We start from the raw sequence: 21,374 nt of genomic DNA, 5'->3' as shown, positions 1-21,374 counted from the left end.
AGTGAATAGGATAAAGGCTGGGGAAATAATTCAAGTAATCATTATCTAATGAATTTAAGCTGGTAAGAAAAATATGTGTAAAAGCCAGAAGGATGGAAACCAGAAAAACCAGATAAGAGAGGCTAGAGAATTTCCATGAGGATTAGTGAAATTTTAAACTCAAATATTTGTGTTCTAAGATCAGTGTCCTTTTCAATACTTTTTATTTATTATCTAAATTTACATCTTAACACATTTTGTATTATTATATTTTAACATTTTAAAATAACACTTTTTTGTCCTTGTCTGAATTAAACTGTGTAAAGTATCCCTCAAACCTGTTCCTGCCATCATCTTCCACAAATCTGTAAGTAGTATTACATACCCCCAATAGATTAAAATATTTTCAATGTCTTCATTTTATTTTTTCCAAAGCTCAAATCCAGTAACTCCACTCATACATTTATTTATTCATTATTTAATGAAAGTCTAGTTTGCACTAGGCACTATTCAAGATCTTGGGAATTCAGCAACCAAAAAATAAATGTCTAAAGTCCTGGGTTTATATTCTAGTTAAAAAGAAAACAGTAAACACACAGACACAAACACATAAAATATGGCTGGTGCTAATAAGCACTATGATAAATAGATTTGAAAGACTAATATAAAAATATTTTTGATTGGGATGAGATTTTATAGTGGCAAGAACAGGCCTCTTGCTGAAGTTATACTTGAGCAGGGACCTGTGTGCAGTGAGGGAGTAAGTTATATGGATATCTGAATTAAGAACTTTCCAGACAGAAGTTAAACCTACAAAGGCACTGAGGCAGGAATGTACCTTGTCAGCCAGAAAAACAGCGAGGAGGCCATTGTGGCTGGAAGTGAACATGGTGGGAAATGGAATCAGAAAAACATTGATGAGTGAAGTGGAAAAGCAGATTCATGTAAAATTTTGTGGGGCATGATTAGAGATAAAGACTTTGGATTTTATTGCAAAAAGAGAAGATGTTGAATGTTTTTCAGCAGAAAAGTGATATGATTTAAAATATTGCTTTGAAGAACCTTCTCCAGCTACTGTATGACAAATTAACTCTAGATGGGCAAGTGTAGAGATAGGGAGTCCAGTTTAGGCATAACAGTGTTAATAATTTGTGTGGCTTTCCATCAGCTTTACACTCAACGTATATCTTTTACTCTTACTTTTTATCAGAATTTCCACAGCTACTACTTTGGTCAAAGTCACCATTAATCTCTCACCTGAAATAAAAATCAAATACCTTAGGGAGGTACAAAAGGATATGGTTCCTTGGTTAAAACTCTTATGTCTTTATATTTGTTAGTGTATTTGACAGGAAACAAGGAGATTCCTGAATCAAAGAACAGGTTGATATCTACTCACAGAGCACCTTAGCTCTGGTTGCCTCTACATCAATTATACAAGGGTCTAATGTCACTTGTACATGCAAATGGGGTTTGCACCACAGGAGAGGAGTCCCAAAATTGTGATACTGAAACCTGTACATAGAATGGCTGACACATTTGTTTCTCCTCAGCTCCAGAGAAAGGAAGGGATACTTTGCAGTGTAAATGCACTTATCTGTGAAGAGCAGGGAAAGTCTGCACCTTACCGCTCTGAAAGGTAAGTATGTGACAGAGGAGAGACAAGAGATAATATCTCTTTGGAGTCCTCTGGGACTGCTGTTCAAATGTCCTTTAACTCAGATATCAGTACTCTTTGTTCAGAAAGCCCCAACCATGCAGAAATGTGAAAATATTCATTGAGGTTTGTTTCCTGCCCAAATCTTTAATTGTCTTTCCTGTATTTCCCCATCATTCACTATGCTGCAGCAACAACTGCTGTGCAGTCCCTCCTATGTGAGAGCCTTTGCCATTGTTGCCCATTGCTGAAATGTCGTCTCCCTCAGATCTTGTGGCTTTCTCCCTGATTTCATTCAGATCTCAGCTCAAAGGCAACTCCACAGAGAAATCATCACTGCTCACCCTATGCAGCAAAGCTTCCTCAGAGACACACTTTCCAACCCTACTATATGTTATCTCTACCTGAAATTTTATTGTGCATTTTGTTTATTTTCTCCTACTCAAACAATTAAGTTCTAGTGTAAATGGATTCTACCATCTTAGTCATATCAATATTCCCATCACATAGAAATAGTAATGTATGGAATAGTGAGCTTCAATATGTGAGTGTCTATCTTGTGTTGCACAATTGAGCAGGAGATGTATCTTATTTTTTAAACAAATTCTTACCACACCTTTATCAATCTGTGGTTGTATAACTCGACACAATCAAGAAAATGAATGCTTAAGTTAATGCTCCCAAGCAAAATGGCTAGCATGTAAAAAGCAGGCTATTACTTAGTTCTGTTAGGTAGTGGTCTTCTCCGTTAACGTTATTTATACCTCTAAAAAATATACTCAGATATATAGCTAGACACCTATCTCTACCTATCTCTATTATATGTCTTTATCATATAGAAATATTAAAATCTCTACTACATTGGTATCAATCTCTATATAGATAAGCAATTATATAATATATATGAGGTCTTCATATAGATACTCTCTTGAAACTTCTTTTTACTTATCCGAATTTCCTGTATCATTATTAGTGAATATGTAAAATAAAACAACTATAGAGTAATCACTTCTGTGAAATGTAATTTAATAGACCTTTTTCTTTGAAATTTGAGTTGTTTGTCTTCCACAAATATTTATCTATGGTTTTGTTTCACCCAGTGACATGAAGTTCTGAAATAAATAAACTTGGCTATAAATTTATGCTCCCAAACAACTTTTGAATTTTGATTTTTTTTTCCATTTTGATTTGACTTAGGGCAAAAGCATCAATCAACAACCATGGTCATGCCAATCTGGTTGATGGCTATATTTCTCATTTTAATTAATAGTTTGGCATTATAATTTCATGCAGCCTTGAGTATATTATTCAGATTTCTGTCTGTCTTGGGCCTGGGTGGAGAGGAAAATTTTATTTACTGTGATAGAGGACAAACACGAGGGAGAAGAAGATACATTTGACAGACGCCATGGTGGTATTAGCCTGGGACATGTTAATTTTGAGATGCCAGCTGGGTAGTTAGTGAATACATAGAAAATGTAGTTAGCTATATAATTCTAGAGTTAATGAGAAATATGGACTAAACTACATAGTTGTTAATTGCACACATGTTAAAGACATGGTAATCAATAAAATTACCCAAGAGAATACATAGAATAAAAAGATAAATTCTGTTACTGAAGTTTTGGAACAGTAATATTTATAATATGAATAGAGGAATAGATACCACCAAGGACGAATAACAGGAGTGGCCTGAAAAATAGGCAGAGACACTGAAAGTGTGATTTCACAACACCCAAGAGAATGGACAATTTCAATGTCAGTGGAGTATCTGATAGTGTAAAATATAGAGTCAAATAAGATAAAGATGCAAAGGTGTTTAATGATCTCTGCAGCAATGATATTCTTGACCATAACCTTAAACACAACCTTTTCAGTGGATTGGATGAGACAGATGCCAGCCTGCAACAAGTTCTGGAGTATATTGGAGGTAAAAAAATAGACACAGTAATTATAGGCAATTTTTTTCAAAAAGTTGTCTGTGAAGAAAGAGACTAATTGAGAGAAGAAGAACCTTGGAATGGTAGAAGAAATGGGATCCAAAGTAAAGTGAATTTTAAAAGGAACATTCTTTCTATTCTAATAGGAAAGGAGAATAAAAGCACACGAGTACAGAGTAATAGAGACAATGGTCTGGAGCATCTGAAAAGCAGAACAGTATATACTGTAGAGCCTGCAGGCTAGATTCTATTACACTGTAAACTTTGCATAAGATTATATAAGCTTTTCCCTTAACCTTCAGTCAAGTAAAACTCCAAGATATTTATGCATGAACAGCTCATAAAAATCATATCCTTGTATAGTTTATTTTCTGAATGTCTATGTTGTGTAATATAAGAAACATAATCACCTGTCGTCAGTCAAAATTGGATTTCCACTCTTACTCCAGAATTTACAGTTTGTATCTTCCATCCTGATATTAAGCTTACTTGAAAATTGAAATCGTATTATCTACACCAGTGGCTGTCAAACTGTTTTGGTAAAGGGCCAGATAATAAATATTTTAAGGTTTGCTGGTCATATGTTTAGTTGTACGTATTCAATTTCACCATCATAGCATGACAGCAGTCATAGACAATACAAAGTAATGGGCAAGATGGCAGTCCAATAAAACTGTATTTACAAGAAGATAGCAAGCTGAATTTAGACTGGGGCAGCATTTTGTCAATCCCTGACCTACAAAATGGTAGTTAAAATGAGATTGAACATACATAATCTACAGAATGGTGTTAAGCACATCATAGAATTTCTGGAAATATTAGATATTTTAATGTGTTTCACAGTGTTTGGGCTTTTCATTTCCTTAAGAAAAGGAAATAAAGGATGGAATTAATATTTTAGAGCTGATTATTTTTGGCAGCACATTTATATTTATGATGCAAATGTGTTTCAGGTGTGCTGTAAGTTCATTTGTTAATCTCCTCAGAATAATCAAATGCTATTTTTAACAACTAATATTCATCTAAAGCAGTTAGAATTAGATATGACAATGAATGGGTTGTACATATCATATGAACTATCTGAATTCATTCTTATTTTTGTGCATTAATGTTTATTCACGGCATCAACACCAGAAAACTCTCCTTATTGACTATACAATGCGACAAGAACCTTCACTTCCTGTTAAATCATCTCATTTGACCTGATTATGTCTTCAGTTGTGAGTTGTTTCCATTAGCGAATGTGTTTGTTTTGCCCAAAAATGTAAAATAGATTTTTATTTTTATTTAATTACCTTTTATTTTTGTACAATGTATTCAGTAATATAGATAGAATGTCTGCTTATTTTCTTAACTATTTTTGTTGGTATCATTTTAACTAGTATTATGTTAACTATATATTAAATATGTTTATACTGTATATGTATATAGTATTGTGTTAAAAATATGAAAGTAAATATGATTTTTTTTTTTTGGAGAGGGAGTCTCCTCTGTCACCCAGACTGGAGTGCAATGGCACGATCTCGGCTCACTGCAACCTCTGCCTCCCAGCTTCAAGTGATTCTTCCGCCTTAGCCTCCAGAGGAGCTGGGATTACAGGCACATACCACCATGCCAGGCTAATTTTTAAATTTTTGAAGAAATGGGGTTTCATCATCTTGGCCAGGCTGGTCTTGAACTCCTGACCTCAGATGATCCACCCTGCTCTGCCTCCCAAAGTGTTGAGATTACCGGTGTGAGCCACCGCACCAGGCCAGTTGATTTTTAAGATATCATTATTTCCAACTTTTTACTTGAATGAATGATTGATTATTGGCCTTTCTTTATAATAATTTACCAGAGTGTTATTCTGTATGAAATTTTATGATGATAAGTATTTAACTTCACAAATTAAAATTGGTAATTTCTAAAAAAAAATTATAAAGTAAATAAAGATAATTTAGTCATTTATAGATTATGGATATAGTAATAATCATATTACTATTACCAAATCTATTTAATCATTAGTGAAGACATGGCATCTTCTTCACACAGTGATGTAAGTTCATCTAAGGAAAGATTGATATGTCTAGTCCCAGTTCTCCATTTAATTTGGAGAATTTAGGCACATGATTTAAGAGAAATAGTTTCCAGTTTGCTCAACTGTAGAAGGAAGAATTGATAATATATGTGTTACTGTTTAGGCTGAGCTCTGGAGCTACTTCAGAGATTTCTCACAACTCAGTGGGAGCTACCATTGGAAGGGAATGTTAATGAAGGAGGTTGAGCTCATTTCACCCCTCTACAGTGTCTCAGATTAAAATACGACCTCTTATCCCACTTTCCATGTTAGGCGTCACTTCTTCCAAAGAAATACTTCTATTGAAAACAATTGTTTGAAAACCATTCCCCTCAATGACTATGTTGGACTCTTCTGCCTCTCAAATGTTTGATTCTGTCTTTTTTCCTTTCTTTCTTTTTTTTTGAGACAGAATCTTGCTCTGTTGCTCAGGCTGGAGAGCAATGGCACAATCACGGCTCACTGCAGCCTTCACCTCCCGGGTTCAAGCAATTCTCCTGTTTCAGCCTCCTGAGTAGCTGAGACTACAGGCACGTGCCACCACACCAAGCTAATTTTTGTATTTTGAGTAGAGATGGAGTTTCGCCATGTTGGCCAATCTGGTCTCGAACTCCTGACATCAGGTGATCTGCCTGCCTCGGCCTCCCAAAGTGCTGGGATTACAGGCATGAGCCACAGCATTGGGCCGTGATTCCATCTTAATTATTCTGTCTTAATTTATATGTTATTTTAGGAATTAAAAAAAATACTCATGCAATCTATTATGCTGTGCTAGCTGAAACCTCTCGTATCCCTGTCTACAAAATGTGGTTGTTTGCCTCTGTACATCATGTTCTTATGTAGGTCACCTGGAACCAGTGCATTGCTCCCAATCCTTCACTCCCAATTTGTGAACCATCCTTCTCCATGACACTGATGTCTACGCAAGCTCATCACTCACTTTGGAGTGTCCTCCGAAGCTGGCAAAATTATGAGATTACATATCCAAATTAGTATAATACTATTTTCCTTGCTTAAAATACATATTAATTTATGTAAAAATGTTTACCTTATATATGAACTATGTTACAAAACATACATAGCAGAACTTTTAAAGAATTGAACTATTGATAAAATAATACTTTAAAGAACTCCGTTCTAAAATTAGTGAATTTTTAGGAAAAAATATATACTTAGAGCAAGTTATATTTTAATATTTTAAGTGAATCTATATTTCTAAGATACTTTTAATAACTTGAAAATTATGGGTCATATTTCCTGTTGGAACTGACCAGATTATGATTTACTTTGTGAATTAGCAGATGATAGGCTAATATAGCACATATAAAAAATGTCAGTCCTGCTTTTTCCTGTTTGTTCACTTGTGCATATGTACCTAGAACTCTTTGATCCAGAATATTTTTGAAATTTTTTCTCTTGTCCATAGTACAAGGATTTTTTTAGTTAAAATTAGAAATAGCCATGAATCTCAATATATTAAAAGTAAATAGAAAAGTAAGAGCATCTTTGTCTGCTCTCCCCTTATGTACTTGTCATGTTTTTGAACTACATTCAGTGCATTTTTGAAGCATAATTTCTTTTTTTTAACAAATACATTAACATTTTAGCACTTTGTCACGACACTTTGGTTTTTGGTACCCTGGAGAAGGTGAGGACCTTGCTTTTGCATCCTATACTTCATTGCTTTCTACCATTACACATCTCTTTAATGTTTTATTTTATACGTTCTTTTACATGTGTGAAAATCTGAAGAGTAGTTATTTTGTCATGATCGCTTTTATAGTTCGTAGGTATTTGGTGAATGCATCAGAAAGAATAATAGATCAATATACACATCAGGTAAATTATGTAATTTTTATAGCATAAGTATTTGGTGTCCTCGTTTCAATTTTTTCCAGGCTTTGGCAGTATGACCATGTTTTCTGGAATACAATATGATAGACTAAGTGTTCATTCATACATGTGATTAGCTGACCCAAATCATTTTCACACTAGTTCCTGTCAAGAGGTGTTGCATTGGCTCAAGTCTCTATTGGGTTGAAGACATTAGTGGCTTTCTATTCAGGCTCATGGGCTAGTAGGTTTCTGAATTTTCACAAGCAGATTTAAGCCCTAACAAAACTTAGCTGCTTACTGGATGAAGCCTATTTATTTTCATGTAGTGATCATAAAGAGTTGGTGTACTTAATGCATTCATTTCATGACAATATTCTTAAACATTGTACCAGACAAGACTTATTGAAAGAATCTTCCAAAGAAATAGTATTTTTGGTTAATTTCCTACAAGAAAAATAATCTGTCATTTCATACACTGTGTAATAACAATAACCAATATTTATTTGCTGTTTAGTATGCCAGATTATGAGTTAACTTTATCTCAATTAATTCTCAGAACAATCCCAATATGTAAGTCCCATTATTATTTCTATTTTAATGATTAAAATCACCACCATCACCACGAACACCTCAAAAACCTGTGGTTTCTAACCTCTATTCCCTGATCTTTGCCAAGGGAGCTGCTGAAACTAAAGTATATGTTAGGATTTTCCCAAGTTTAACACAAGAAATACCACTTCAGACCCTCATTTTTTACTTGCCATGATTGCATATTTAAATAATGTTGATAACACTAACTAGTTGATCCAATGTGCATCAACCTGAGGGAAAACTGCTTTATCCTTAAGTCCTGGCAGGAGAGACCAGTTGAAGTTCTCTTAGGCCACAACCCAACTTGTTTGTGTTGCTATCATAATTGCTGCTGTTTTAATTTTACAGTCATCTTATAACATGTAATTGGTTGCATTTCCTTCTCTTTGTGATCTTTGCTAGAAATGTCAATGTGAGTTTTCATCTCATACCAAAAAAAAAAGATAGGAATTAAGACATGCATTTTATTATTCAAACATCCTCTCTATGGTTCACTTCATTTTCCTTAACCTTTTTTTTTGCTTCTAATTGATGTCCTAATTTCTTATTTTATCTTGCATTAAATATATTTCTCAAATAGCATTAAACATGGTTTGGAATATCACATGAGTGATATATAATATCACAAGTGATATGACATATATATGTCATATATAATATCACGAGTGATATCACATGAGTGATACATATAACTGTAAAAACAATCATGACAAAATATCTACTCTTCAGATTCTCACACATGTAAAAGAACATCTAAACTAAAAACATTAAAGAGGTGTGTGCAATAGTAGGAAGCAATGGTAGGAAGCAATATATATATATATATATATATATATATATAGGTTTTTTGTACCCTCTAGAAGATGAGGACCTTGCTTTTGCATCCCATACCTCATTGCTTCCTACCATTACATACACCTCTTTAATGTTTTTATTTTAGATGTTCTTTTACATGTGTGAGAATCTGAAGAGTAGATATTTTGTCACGATTGTTTTTACAGTTATATATATAATACTTTTATATATATATAATCACATAGCTCTCTGAAGATTTTAGAATAAAATCCTATTTGACATCTGCCTTATTGACATATGATCGCTATGTTTTCACAGTTTTCCCATGAAAATTGTAATCTAAAATACTAGCTATTATAGCAAATATTAAATTTTTAAAATATATTACAATAGGCTGTAAGTCATTTTAAATTTTCTAAATATTGGATTCTGGCTCTGATTTCCATATTTTTCAATACTACCTCAACAAATACCAATAAACCTTTATTGCCTTTTTTTCTGATTATAAAACTAGTGAATATTCTTCAGCAAAAATTAGGTAAATAATGGAAAGTATAAAGAACAATGGAAAAATAATTTATTGTACCACTACTTAACTTGATTTTTTTCTGAGTGTGTGCATATATGTGCACTGTTTTCTTTCTAAATCTCTAGTGTTTTAAAACACTAGCACTTCACGAATCATCAATCCTAAAATTGTGAACTGACACTAGTTTTTCATTACAAATAACGGTTTATCTTCCCATCATATTTCTACTTTGGAAATGTCCAACACCTCAAATCAAGTGGGAGGAAAGATGGGTGATGGCAGGGAGGAGGTTGTGCACTTTTAACAAAGGATCTTCTATGTAATTTTCTCTTACAAATAAAACACTGTGTCTTCTGGAATTTTGCAAGAAAGGCATTTAGCCCAGTCAGCACTGCTGTAAATTTCTAAACATCAGCTAGACAGAATTGAATTCAATCTTTTATGTGCCTTGGGATACATCCAACGCATTTCTTATTTTCCTCAGAAATCCTGCTGACTTGGAGCAGGTGTGTCTTAAAATAACAAAAACTCATCAAGGCATGATTGTTATCGTTCTGATGGCTTCATCTTAACTCCTTCCTGTTGTGCACACCTGGCCACATGAGCACCTGTGCATGCAACAGGGAATCCCACAGAAAGGTTCTCTTTTTATTGTTGTTATGGAGATAAAAAGGGATTCCGGTATTAACAACTGATGATGGACATTGACTGTAGAATTGAGCTGAAAGGAGAAGTTTTCATATTCAGGGGTCCACCTGTGAATGGTTTGTCACTGCTTTCTTCAGTTAAGTTTCTTTGCAGAATAACAGGAATAGATTCCTCAGTATACAGAGAGCTCATATGCCCTGTTCTTATCACTAATTGAATAATAATTTTTCTTTTAATTGAAACACACAGATATCTGTTCAGTATCAACACCAAAGTTGTTACTGACCATGGCTTACATTGCCATTCTCGTTTTGATTTAGGTAAGCAGTTTTCTGTAATTTTTTTAGTCATGACAAAATATGATTAAATACTAAGCAACTCTTAAAAGTAAAGTAAATCTTTTATTTACTCAATATAATTTTGTAACGTGTATTTTTTCTTTGTAAAGAAAACATATCTAAATTATGCCAAAAACATTACAAAAACAAAATATTTTATAATTGTGTTATTACATAAAAGAACTTAGCGTACTGCAGCCATGTGCTATGTGTCACTAAGTATCATAGATTGATTAAAGTAGGGTATTAGTGTACTTGGTTAATAAATAATACAAAAGGAAAAAGGAATAAATTCAAATAATTTTATTTCTAGATATTGTCCATTATTAAACTTTTTTAGCAATCTATTATTCAGTATTTCCCACTTCCCTGTTAAATCTAAATGAAATTGAGCTTCTTTTATTTTTCAGAATATTACACAAGTTATATATGAATACTTTCTAGGCTGAATATTTCTTATATTCCAATCACTTAATCTCAATTTGCATTCATTGATGTGTGTGTGTGTGCATGCAGGCATGCACACATGTGTTCACATGTGTTGAGTAAATTTATGTATTTTATAGGCATGTGTATTGACAACATACAGTCACAAATCATTTCAATCCAATCAAACCACTTTGCGCATTAGAGTAATTAGTTTAACTAAATTATCATATTACAGTGAAATATCAAATAAAATTTAGACATACATAATAAACACTAAAATAAACGTGCTTCGGTGTCATAAAGGATGAATCACTAGAAGGATTGGAATAGCCTCCTACTGGGAACTAGTAGTTCCCAGTATCTATTGTTCCCATGTTTATTTCCATGTGTACTCAATGTTTAGCTCCCACTTATAAGTGAGAACATGCAGTATTTGGCTTTCTGTTACTCTGTTAATTCATTTAGAATAATAGCCTCCAGCTGCATCTTTGTTGCTGCAGAAGGATATAACTTCATTCTTTTTTTATTTTTAAGTGGATATATTACTTTACATTTCTACCAGCAATGGTTGAGAGTTTCAGTTCTTCACAAATTGTCAACACTTGTTATTGTCAGTCTTTGTAATTTTAGTCAACCTAACGGGTATATTGTAGTATTTCATTATGATTTTAATAATGTTGATTAATTATGTCTAATGGCACTCAACATCTTTTTTGCATTGGCCATTAATACGGCTTGTCATTTGGAGTATCTAGAAAAAACTTTTTCCTTTACATTTGCAAATGTATTTATTGTTTTATCTTATTTTATTGAGATATAAGAAGTGTTCATTTATTTGTCAATACAAGTCAGTTGTCAGATTTATGTTTCACATTTTCAAAAATTTTATCTTTTACCTTTATGTTTTCTTAAAAATAATTTTTGAGAAACAAAAATTTGTTTTTAAAAATGTTGACTATGACTATTTTATTAATTTTTATTTTATTGTTTCCACTTTGTATCTTATTTAAGAAATCTTTAACTCAATTTTGATTTCATCAATAGTCTATAGTTTTACCTCTTATATTTAGTTCTGTGATCCATTGTAACTTAATTTGCATACATTGTAAGTAAAGGTCTAAATTCATAGTTTTTTTTTTTACAAAGATATCAAGTTATTTCAGCACCATAGGTTGAAACATCTTTTTCTTATTAAATGACTTTATCATTTTTGTCAAAATTTAATTGACCATTGTTTGTATTTATTTAGTAGACTCTTTTTCTGTTTCATTGATTGGTATATCTACCCTTAAGCCACTCTCTTGATTAATGTAACTTTACATAGTAAATCTTGAACTTAAGAACGTATGTTAAGTTTTTTTCATAACTTAGAGAAAATTAGAAAACCTAACATTAAACTCCCACCTGGACGATGACAGATGCCTAGATGTTGTTTCATAGATAATCAGGTATGCCATATTCTACCTCACATATTTACTGAACCTCAGTGTCCTCAGTAGAAATTTGTGTTTGTGATTCCTGTGATAGAGTCTACTGATTTTCTCTAACACTAGGACATATATAGAAATGTGATAAATTGACCATTTTTCTTGTTACATGTCTTGTTGTTGCCTCACAAAGAGTGGGATCAAGTCCCATCTAAAATTTGATTTAGATGTTAAAAATGAAAATGCCACTTATGCATCAAGAATATTAAAAGTTTTATTATTCAAATCATGGGGCTTTCTGTGAAGAGTAGGCAGACTCCCAAACTGATCTGAAATACAGCTTGAGACCTGAAAGTGGTGCAAATTGTTAAGGAATAGGTCTGTGGTGAGGTTTCCTCCTCCAGGTGAGGCCTCACATGATTTGAACTTCCCTCCAGCACCAAAGGAGTGAGATACCAGACTATCTTATCATCTTGCCCATATGTGAAACAAAGAGGGGCAGAGAGAGAAGTGTAGCTTGAAAGCTATCAGCAGTTAAATATGTAAATGGAGACAGACTCTTTATCATAGTTACAATTGAAACTAATTCCAATCTGTTAACAACTTAAAAATTAGAGTCTAGGTTTGTCTAACGTGGAGTAGTACAATGAAAGCTTTAAAAAGGAAGAAAAAATGGAGCTGATCATCACTTTTCATAATATGTGGTTCTCATAATTTAGAGGAGATCCTTAGAGCTATTGTTTTCAAATGTATGTTTTGTTGGACAACTGAATAGAAAGCATTTTTTTTAATAGTAAGTACCTTGATCTTGAATCAGGGTATTTGTGTTGTTGTTTGAGATTTACTACAAATAATCTATGTAACCTTGATCATAGGATGCATTCTTTATATGAAAGCGTATTACTTGAGGGACAGCTCTACAAAGTCAGCAAAAGTTTAAACTTATTACAAGTTAATGATTTTATGTCCAATTCATAGATATAAATAAAGCTTTGAAAAAAAATGAAAAGAAAATTGAAACATTTTCTTTGATTATTTTAAGAAATACTCCAGTGAATAATTTCAAGCAAACACAGCATGATTATTTAGAAAGCAGGGCATAGAATACAGCAGTTAATTATGGGCAGGTTAAACTTTCATTAACCATGGGTAAAAAACAGTAGAAATTATTTTCTGTGCTATTTTAAAGAAATACATCAAGAAAGATGATCTAATTAGGAATAATCAAAATTGATTCATCAGAGGGGGAAAGATTGTGATTTAAACTTTGCTAAATTATTTATATTAGGAGATATAGAAAGATGGCAATTTTCATTTGGGGGTATTTAAAATGTTCTGAAAAAGCTAGAGTAAAAATCTGCTCAAATAAAAATGAGAAAAAGTGGTTAGGAATAAGATAGTAAGACTAGGTTTTCAGTTTTCTTCATTGCCACCCAGAACATTTGAATTATTTAATTGCTAAAAAGTATGCAAAATGCCAGCATTCTACCAAAGTTTTTAGAATTAATGGCATCACATTTAGCAGCCTTAAATCCCTTAGTTGATTTCCTAGTGCACAAAATTGTAATAAGAAAAATATATTATAATAAACTTGGAACAAGACACAAAATAGAAAATGTTACTGAGCAATGATGGAAATATACTCAATTGGTGTTAATTTCTTTGCCTCTCTCTAACTACTTCCACACTCATTATCATGCCCCAAGCATTATAACTATCAAAATCACTTCTTTAGAGAGTGTGTAGTATAGAAAATTATGATATTTTGTGATACATTCCTCACGTGCACATGTTCCCTAGAACTTAAAGTAATATATATGTATATATGCATGTGTATATATGTATATATATGTGTGTGTATATATATGTATATATATGTATGTGGGTATATATATATATTCTCTTCTTGTGTTAGTTCTTGCAGCATGGAAGTTTGTTTTTTTTTTTAAATGCTAGGATACAGTATAATGCATACCTTGGAGGCAAAAGCAGTATAGATTTATGCTCTATCAAATAAAAATATCAAGGTTAAAAATAAGCTACCATGTTGGGTTACTCTAGTCTGTCAGTCCTATCTACAGGAAACTGAATTGAAGGGGGAAGAAACAATTATAAAAAGTGAGACTTGCAGTGGATGTGTAATAAAAATTGTGGTGCTACTTCTTTCTGAGAAAAGTATAAGTGTAATAATGGAGGCATTCCAGAGAGAGCAAGGTGTTTTCTTCAAGAACAATATAGATGCTAGTTATGGGCAATGTAATGATTAAAGGGGCCTGTTTAATGTCAATATTTCATTTGAAATGCAGTGAATAATGAGCTAATTGCCCCAGTGAGTGGAATTGCTGTTTAATTCTCTCACAGGAGGGAGAAAAGAAGTGGATATAAATAAAATAGGAAAACAATTGTAGCTCAGAAACGCTAAGTATAAGTTTCCTCCAGAGGCCCCTCTTTCTTACCTGAGAACCTAAAGCTATTGGTGTTGAGTTCACCATGGGAACGCCTTCATAAAGTGTAATGAATACTCATTAATAGTTCTTATGGGGATGTTCATCTGCTTAGGATTTAAGAAAACAATGGAGGTAATCACTAGGAATTCATAGGAGATTGTTTCCTCAATTCATTACCTGTCATTTTCTTCATAATTACAAAATCATCTCTGCAATGCAGTTTAGTTACGTGGATTTCTGATGATCAGATAAAACACTGAAAACTTCAATATAGAGGCCTGAAAACCCAGAGGAAATTTGATTGTTTTTTCCTTTTCTGTTTTTCTCTTTTAAATAGATACTTGCATCGTAAGAAAAAATCCTGAACTGGAGGTTATTTCGCTATTTCAAAATCAAAATAATTAAGAAACCCTTATTATAAGAATACTTATTGTTTTTAATAACTATAATAGCTTAAATTTATTGATTACTTGCTACATGTTTATACTCTTCTGAGACTTTTAAGCCTCACAACAGCCTCATAGAATAGGTGATGTTTTTATCCTCTTATACAGGTAAGTAAACTAGGATACAAATAAATTATCTTCCAAACAAGTTTATGAGTGGCAAATACTGAATTTAAATTCTTTAATGACTTTACTTGTTCTCTACTCTACTGAAAGATTATTAAATATTAATAATAAAATAATGTTTTAATATGGAAATAGACTGCTTCAGTTTGTTGTGTTAAATAACATATCAAAACTTTTAAGATTAAGATTAGTGTCACATTAAAAATTACTTCCTTTTCATTTGGATAATAATAAGCTGTGTTTAGTTAAAATATAGAGAAATCAACTACCTAAACTCACAATCAGTAGTGCCAGCCCCTGTTTATATATAAACACAGTAGAAAAAAATGTGGTGTGCTTTCTTAGTATTATTCTTATATGTTAGTTAACATATTAATATTACAATGAGAATTGCTTGAATTATGAGAGTACATCTACTTAAAACTATCTAGAGAGGCAAACATCACATAGAAACTCTACAATTGTTTTTAAATCTGTTCCTCTTTCAATTTAACATGCATAAACTGTAAGCCAAGGACTTTGCTTCAATTAATTTTTTAAGTGATGATGAAATCAAATTGGGTTACCTCTTGTGGTAGTTTTAAAGTATATCCAAAAATTCTTTGGTATCCTTCCTTTTAAAATGTGGACACAAAGTCCAGCTTGAATGTAGGCTGGACTTTGTGTCTCTAAGTAAATATAATATGGCAAAAATGATATTGTATGATTGTCAAGAGTAGAATATAAATGGCATTGATGCTGCTGTTCCTTCTTCTCATTCATGATTGCTCACAGTGGGGGCCTGTTACCAAGTAATGAAGACACTCAACCCTGAGGAAGACCCATATGGGACTAAACTGTTGGTAGGTTGAGGGTCTTACCAATAGCCAGCAAAAACCTGCCAGCCATGTCAGTGAGCCACCTTGGAAGCAGATCTTCAGCCTTCATCATGTTTGTTATCTCAGCTAACAATTCAATTTAACTGCAACTTTAAGAGAGACACTGAGACAGAACTTCCCAGTTAAGCTGCTCCTGATTCTCTAAGCTACAGTAACTATGAGCTACTATGTACTTACTGTGGTTTCAGCCTCTATGTTTATGAATATTTCTTTTATTCAGCTATTAATAATTGGTACATTTCTGCTCTCAGCTATATAATAGTTTTCTAAAATTTTATCAGCAGGTATTCTGATACATATTATTTTAATTTTTTTAACTTTTAAGTTCAGGGTAAAAGTGCAGGTTTATTACATAGGTTACCTGTGTCATGGAGGTTTGTTACACAGATTATTTCATCACACAGATATTAAGCCTAGTACCCATTAGTTATTTTTCCTGATCCTCTTCTGCCCCCCACTCTTGATCCTCTCCACTCAAGTAGATCCCAGTGTCTGTTGTTCCCTTCTTTGTGTTCATAAATTGTCATCATTTAACTCCCACTTACAAGTGAGAACATGTAGTATTTGGCTTTCTGTTCCTGTGTTAGCTTGCTAAGAAGAATGACCTCCCGCTCCATCCATGTCCCTGCAAAGGACATGATCTTGTTATTTTTTATGGCTGCATAGTATTCCACCGTGTGTATATACCACACTTTCTTTATCCAGTCTATCACTGATGGGCATTTAGGTTGATTTCATGTCTTTGCTATTGTGAACAGTGCTGCAGTGAACGTTTGTGTGCATGTGTCTTTATAATAGAATGACTTATATTCCTTTGAATATATACGCAGTAATGGAATTGCTGGATTAAGTGGTATTTCTAAATTATTATTTATGCCAACTGATTTTAAGTATTGTATAGTTGATGACTACTGGTTGTATAATTTTGCATTGTTCAAGTGCTTAGCGTATAGGTTTTATAATTCCCATATTTGCAACATGTCATGGTTTTATTCATTATTTATGTTTCATTTAAAAGTATTCCTTTGCTATGCAGAAATTTTAAGTTTGATGCTGCCCCAATTGTTTATTTTTCCTTCTGTTGTTTGTGCTTTTGGTGTCATATCATAGCCAAGACCAATGTCAAAGATATTTTCTCCTGTGTTATAGGAATTTTATAGTTTCAGGTCTTACTGTTTTGAGTTCATTTTTGTGTGTTGCATAGGAGTTTTATTTCACTGTTGTGTAAGATAAGAGTTTAATTTCAGTATGTAAGATAGAAGTTCAATTTAATTTTCTGTGTTGTGTAAGATAAGAGTTTAATTTCATTTTATTCTGTTTCATTGGCCTGTGTGGATGTTTTATGTCAAAACCATACTGCTGTTATTACTATAGCTTTGTAATATAATTTGAAATTAAGAAGTGTAATGCCTCCAACTTTGTTTTCCTTTCTCAAGATTGTTTTATCTATTTGGGATCTTTTGGGATTCCATATACATTTTAAGATTCTGTTTTCTTTATTTCTGTGAAAAATGCAATTGGAATTTTAACAGGGATTGCATTGAATCTGTATATTACTTTGGGTAATATGGACATTCTGACAATATTAACTCTCCGAATTCATGAACACAACAGATCTTTCCATTTATTTGTAACTTCTTCAATTTCTTTCATCAAAGTTTCATATTTTTCAGTGAACATATTTTTCACCTCATTGGTTAAATTTATTCCTATATATTTTATTATATTTGATGTTATTGTAAATGATTATTCTCTTAATTTTTTGGATAGCTTCTTATTGTATAGAAACACAACTGATTTTTTGTATGTTGCTTTTGTATCCTGCAACTTTACTGAATTCATTTATTAGTTTTAACAATTTTTAGGGACTATATAGGGTTTCCTATATATAATGTTATGTTGTCTGCAAATGGAGTCAGTTTACTTTATCGTCTCTAATTTCAATATTTATTTTTCTTACCTAATTGCTTTGATTAGGACTTTCAGCACTACGTTGAAGAGAAGTGGTGAGAATGTACACCCCTGTCTTGTTCCTGATCTCAGAGGAAAAGCTTTTAGCTTCTCACTATTGACAATAATATTGGCTGTGGGCTTGCCAAACATGACCTTTCTCATACTGAGGTACATTCATTCCATACCTAATTTGTTGAGAATTTTTATCTTGAAAAGATGTTAAATTTTGTCAAGTACATTTTCTGCGTCTTTTGGGATGATTATATGATTCTTATCCTTTATTTTGCTAATGTGGTATGTCACATTTATTGATTTGCATACATTGTAACATCCTTTCATCATAGGGATGGAAGAAAATATTTGCAAGCCATGTATCTAATAAGGTGTTAATATCCAAAACATACAAGGAACTCATACAACTTAATAGCAAAAAACCCAAATAACCCAACTAAAAATTGAGCAAAGGACCTGAACAGAAGTTTTTCCACAGGAAAAAAATACAAATGGCCTAAGTTATATGAAAAGGTGCTCAACGTCACTAATCACCAGGAAATGAAAATCAAAATCACAATGAAATATATTTTATTATGGCTAATATAAAAAGTCAAATATTACAAATGTAAAAAATGTGGAGAAGAGGGAGCCCTTGTATGCTGTTGGTGGAAATGTAAATTAGTATAGCCATTAAGAAAAAAAAAAAAAAAACACAATGGAGGATCCTTAAAAAGTTAAAAATAGGCCGGGTGTGATGTCTGTAATCCCAGTACTTTGGGAGGCCGAGGAGGGCAGATCACGAGGTCAGGAGATTGAGACCATCCTGGCTAACAGGGTGAAACCGGTCTCTACTAAAAATACAAAAAAAAAAAAAAATTAGCCAGGCATGGTGGCAGGTGGCTGTGGTCCCAGCTACTCGGGAAGCTGAGGCAGGAGAATGGCGTGAACCTGGGAGGCGGAGCTTGTAGTGAGCCTAGATCAAGCCACTGTCCCCCAGCCTGGACAACAGAGGCACGACTCCATCAAAAAAAAAAAAAAAAGTTAAAAATAGGACTGTCATATGAGCCATCAATCCTCTGTTGGATATGTTTGCCCAAAGGAAATGAAACAAATATGTCAGAGAGATGTCTTCACCCCATATCCATTGCAGGATTATTCACTCTAGTCAAGATATGGAAACAATCTAAATAACTATAAACAGATGAATGTCTAAAGAAATGTAAGACATAGACAAACACACACAGTGGAACATTATTTAGCCTTAGAAAAGAAGAAAATTCTGTCATTTGGTGCAACATGGATGAACCTGGAGAACATTATGTTGCGTGTAATAAGCCAGGCCCAGAAAGACAAATACTGCATGATCTCATATGAAGCTCATACAGAAAGTACAAAGTATAGATAGAAAATGCTTGTGGTGGGAGAAATAGAGAGATATCTAAAGCATACAAAATTTTAAAAGGTAACTATGTAGGCAATGGGAATATTATGGGAATATTAATTAGCTTGATTTTTCTTTTTCATTCTTTTTTTTTTTTTTTTTGTGAGACAGAGTCTCCCTCTGTCACCCAAGCTGGAGAGCAGTGGCATGATCTCGGCTCACTGCAATCTCTGCCTCCTGGGTTCAAGTGATTCTTGTGCCTCAGCCTCCCGAGTAGCTGAAATTACAGGTGTGCGCCACCAGTCTTAGCTAATTTTTTTTTTTTGGAGAGGTGGGGTTTTGTTATCTTTTGTTATGTTGGCCAAGTTGGTCTCTAACTTCTCACCTCAGGTGATCTGCACATCTCGGCCTCCCAAAGTGCTGAGATTAGAGGTGTGAGCCACCATGCACCACCGCTTAGCTTGATTGTGGTATTTATTTCACAATGTGTAGGTATATTAAATCACACTGTACACCTTCAATATATACAATGTTCTTTTGTCCATCATTTCTTAATAAATCAGGAAAAAATTGATATCATTAAGTAAACGAGTTTAATTAAAAGATGGTAAATAATTACTGCTTTAAAATACAAATAAAATATACCTAAAAATCATCCTCATTTATTTTATATTTTGTTTTCCATAATGCTATGGACTTTTAAGATTATTCTTTAGAAAACTAGAATACTTGAGTTTCACATAAATCTATTTGGTTCCCAGGCTGGTGAATGGCTATAACCAGCGCTGACACAAATTTCCATTATATTCTTTGGTCAAAGCAGTAAGTGGCCTGCTAAAATTAGAGAAGATATAGATTCCATCCAGCTCTGGGTAAATTGGAAGGTAACACTGCAAAAAAGCATGTGGCTTGGGAACTATTATATCTGTCTTTATTAAAACAATTTGCCAAATTATACTCATAAAACTTTGAATGATGTAAGAACCATAATGTGTAAATTAAGAAGAATAAGAGATGCCATCCCAATATTATCTATTTTTAAATGAAACAGAAATGTGTTTCATGCCAACTTTTTCCCTGAAATATTTAAGTTGTTATATGAGCTTTGATAGTAAGGAGTTATTTGCATATTTTATTATATAAGTAATTTAAAATGTATAAGAAATAAAATGATACTAGGTAAATATTAACATTTAATTTTGAAATAAATACTATACATATTAAATTGAATACTTAAACATTTATAATTAATCTTAATAATTTGGAATTTTTCGTAGAAATGATTGAGGATAGCCAGGGATCTGATATTGCAAATTATTCTCATATGAAACAATGTTATGCTTAAGTTATATGAAAAAAGAAAGCAAAATTTTAATTTTCAGCTAAAATGTAACAGACAAACCCTCTCTGACCTTCTTATTAAAACAGAAAATAATTAATAACAGACCAGAAACAAAAAAAAATATGTAAATTATGTGTCTCATAACATTATTAAAACTGTGTCACCAAATAGATAATTTCTCTGGGTTAATTATTAGCTTAATAGTTTAAAAGGCATAGTTTCTGTGTTCCAGCTTCACTTTCAATCTGTGCTAATTAACCCTCTTAAATAATTTGAGGCTACTTCCATCATACTTTAAATGGTAAAAATAATTCTTAGCAAGTACATGTAAAGCTTTATGTGCATGCACGTATTTTCACAGACAACAATAAAATAGTATGATTATCTTTAGAAGAAAGATTTCCATACTATGAGTTTTATTTTTTTAAATCTGTACTCAGTATTTTCTCAGAGAGTTGAGCATAAACCCTTCTGTAGGGTTACACTATAACCTCGTAAACCCTGGTTGTTTTGTAGAAGCATCATGTACTAACACATCTCTGGTAGATCTGAGTGAATAATTTTTACTTATTGTTGTGG

The sequence above is a fragment of the Homo sapiens genome, chromosome 4, assembly GCF_000001405.40.
Source record: "Homo sapiens chromosome 4, GRCh38.p14 Primary Assembly".
In the NCBI taxonomy this organism is placed as follows: Eukaryota; Metazoa; Chordata; class Mammalia; order Primates; family Hominidae; genus Homo; species Homo sapiens.
The sequence above is the reverse complement of the archived record's forward strand: the minus strand, read 5'-3'. Positions refer to the sequence as shown.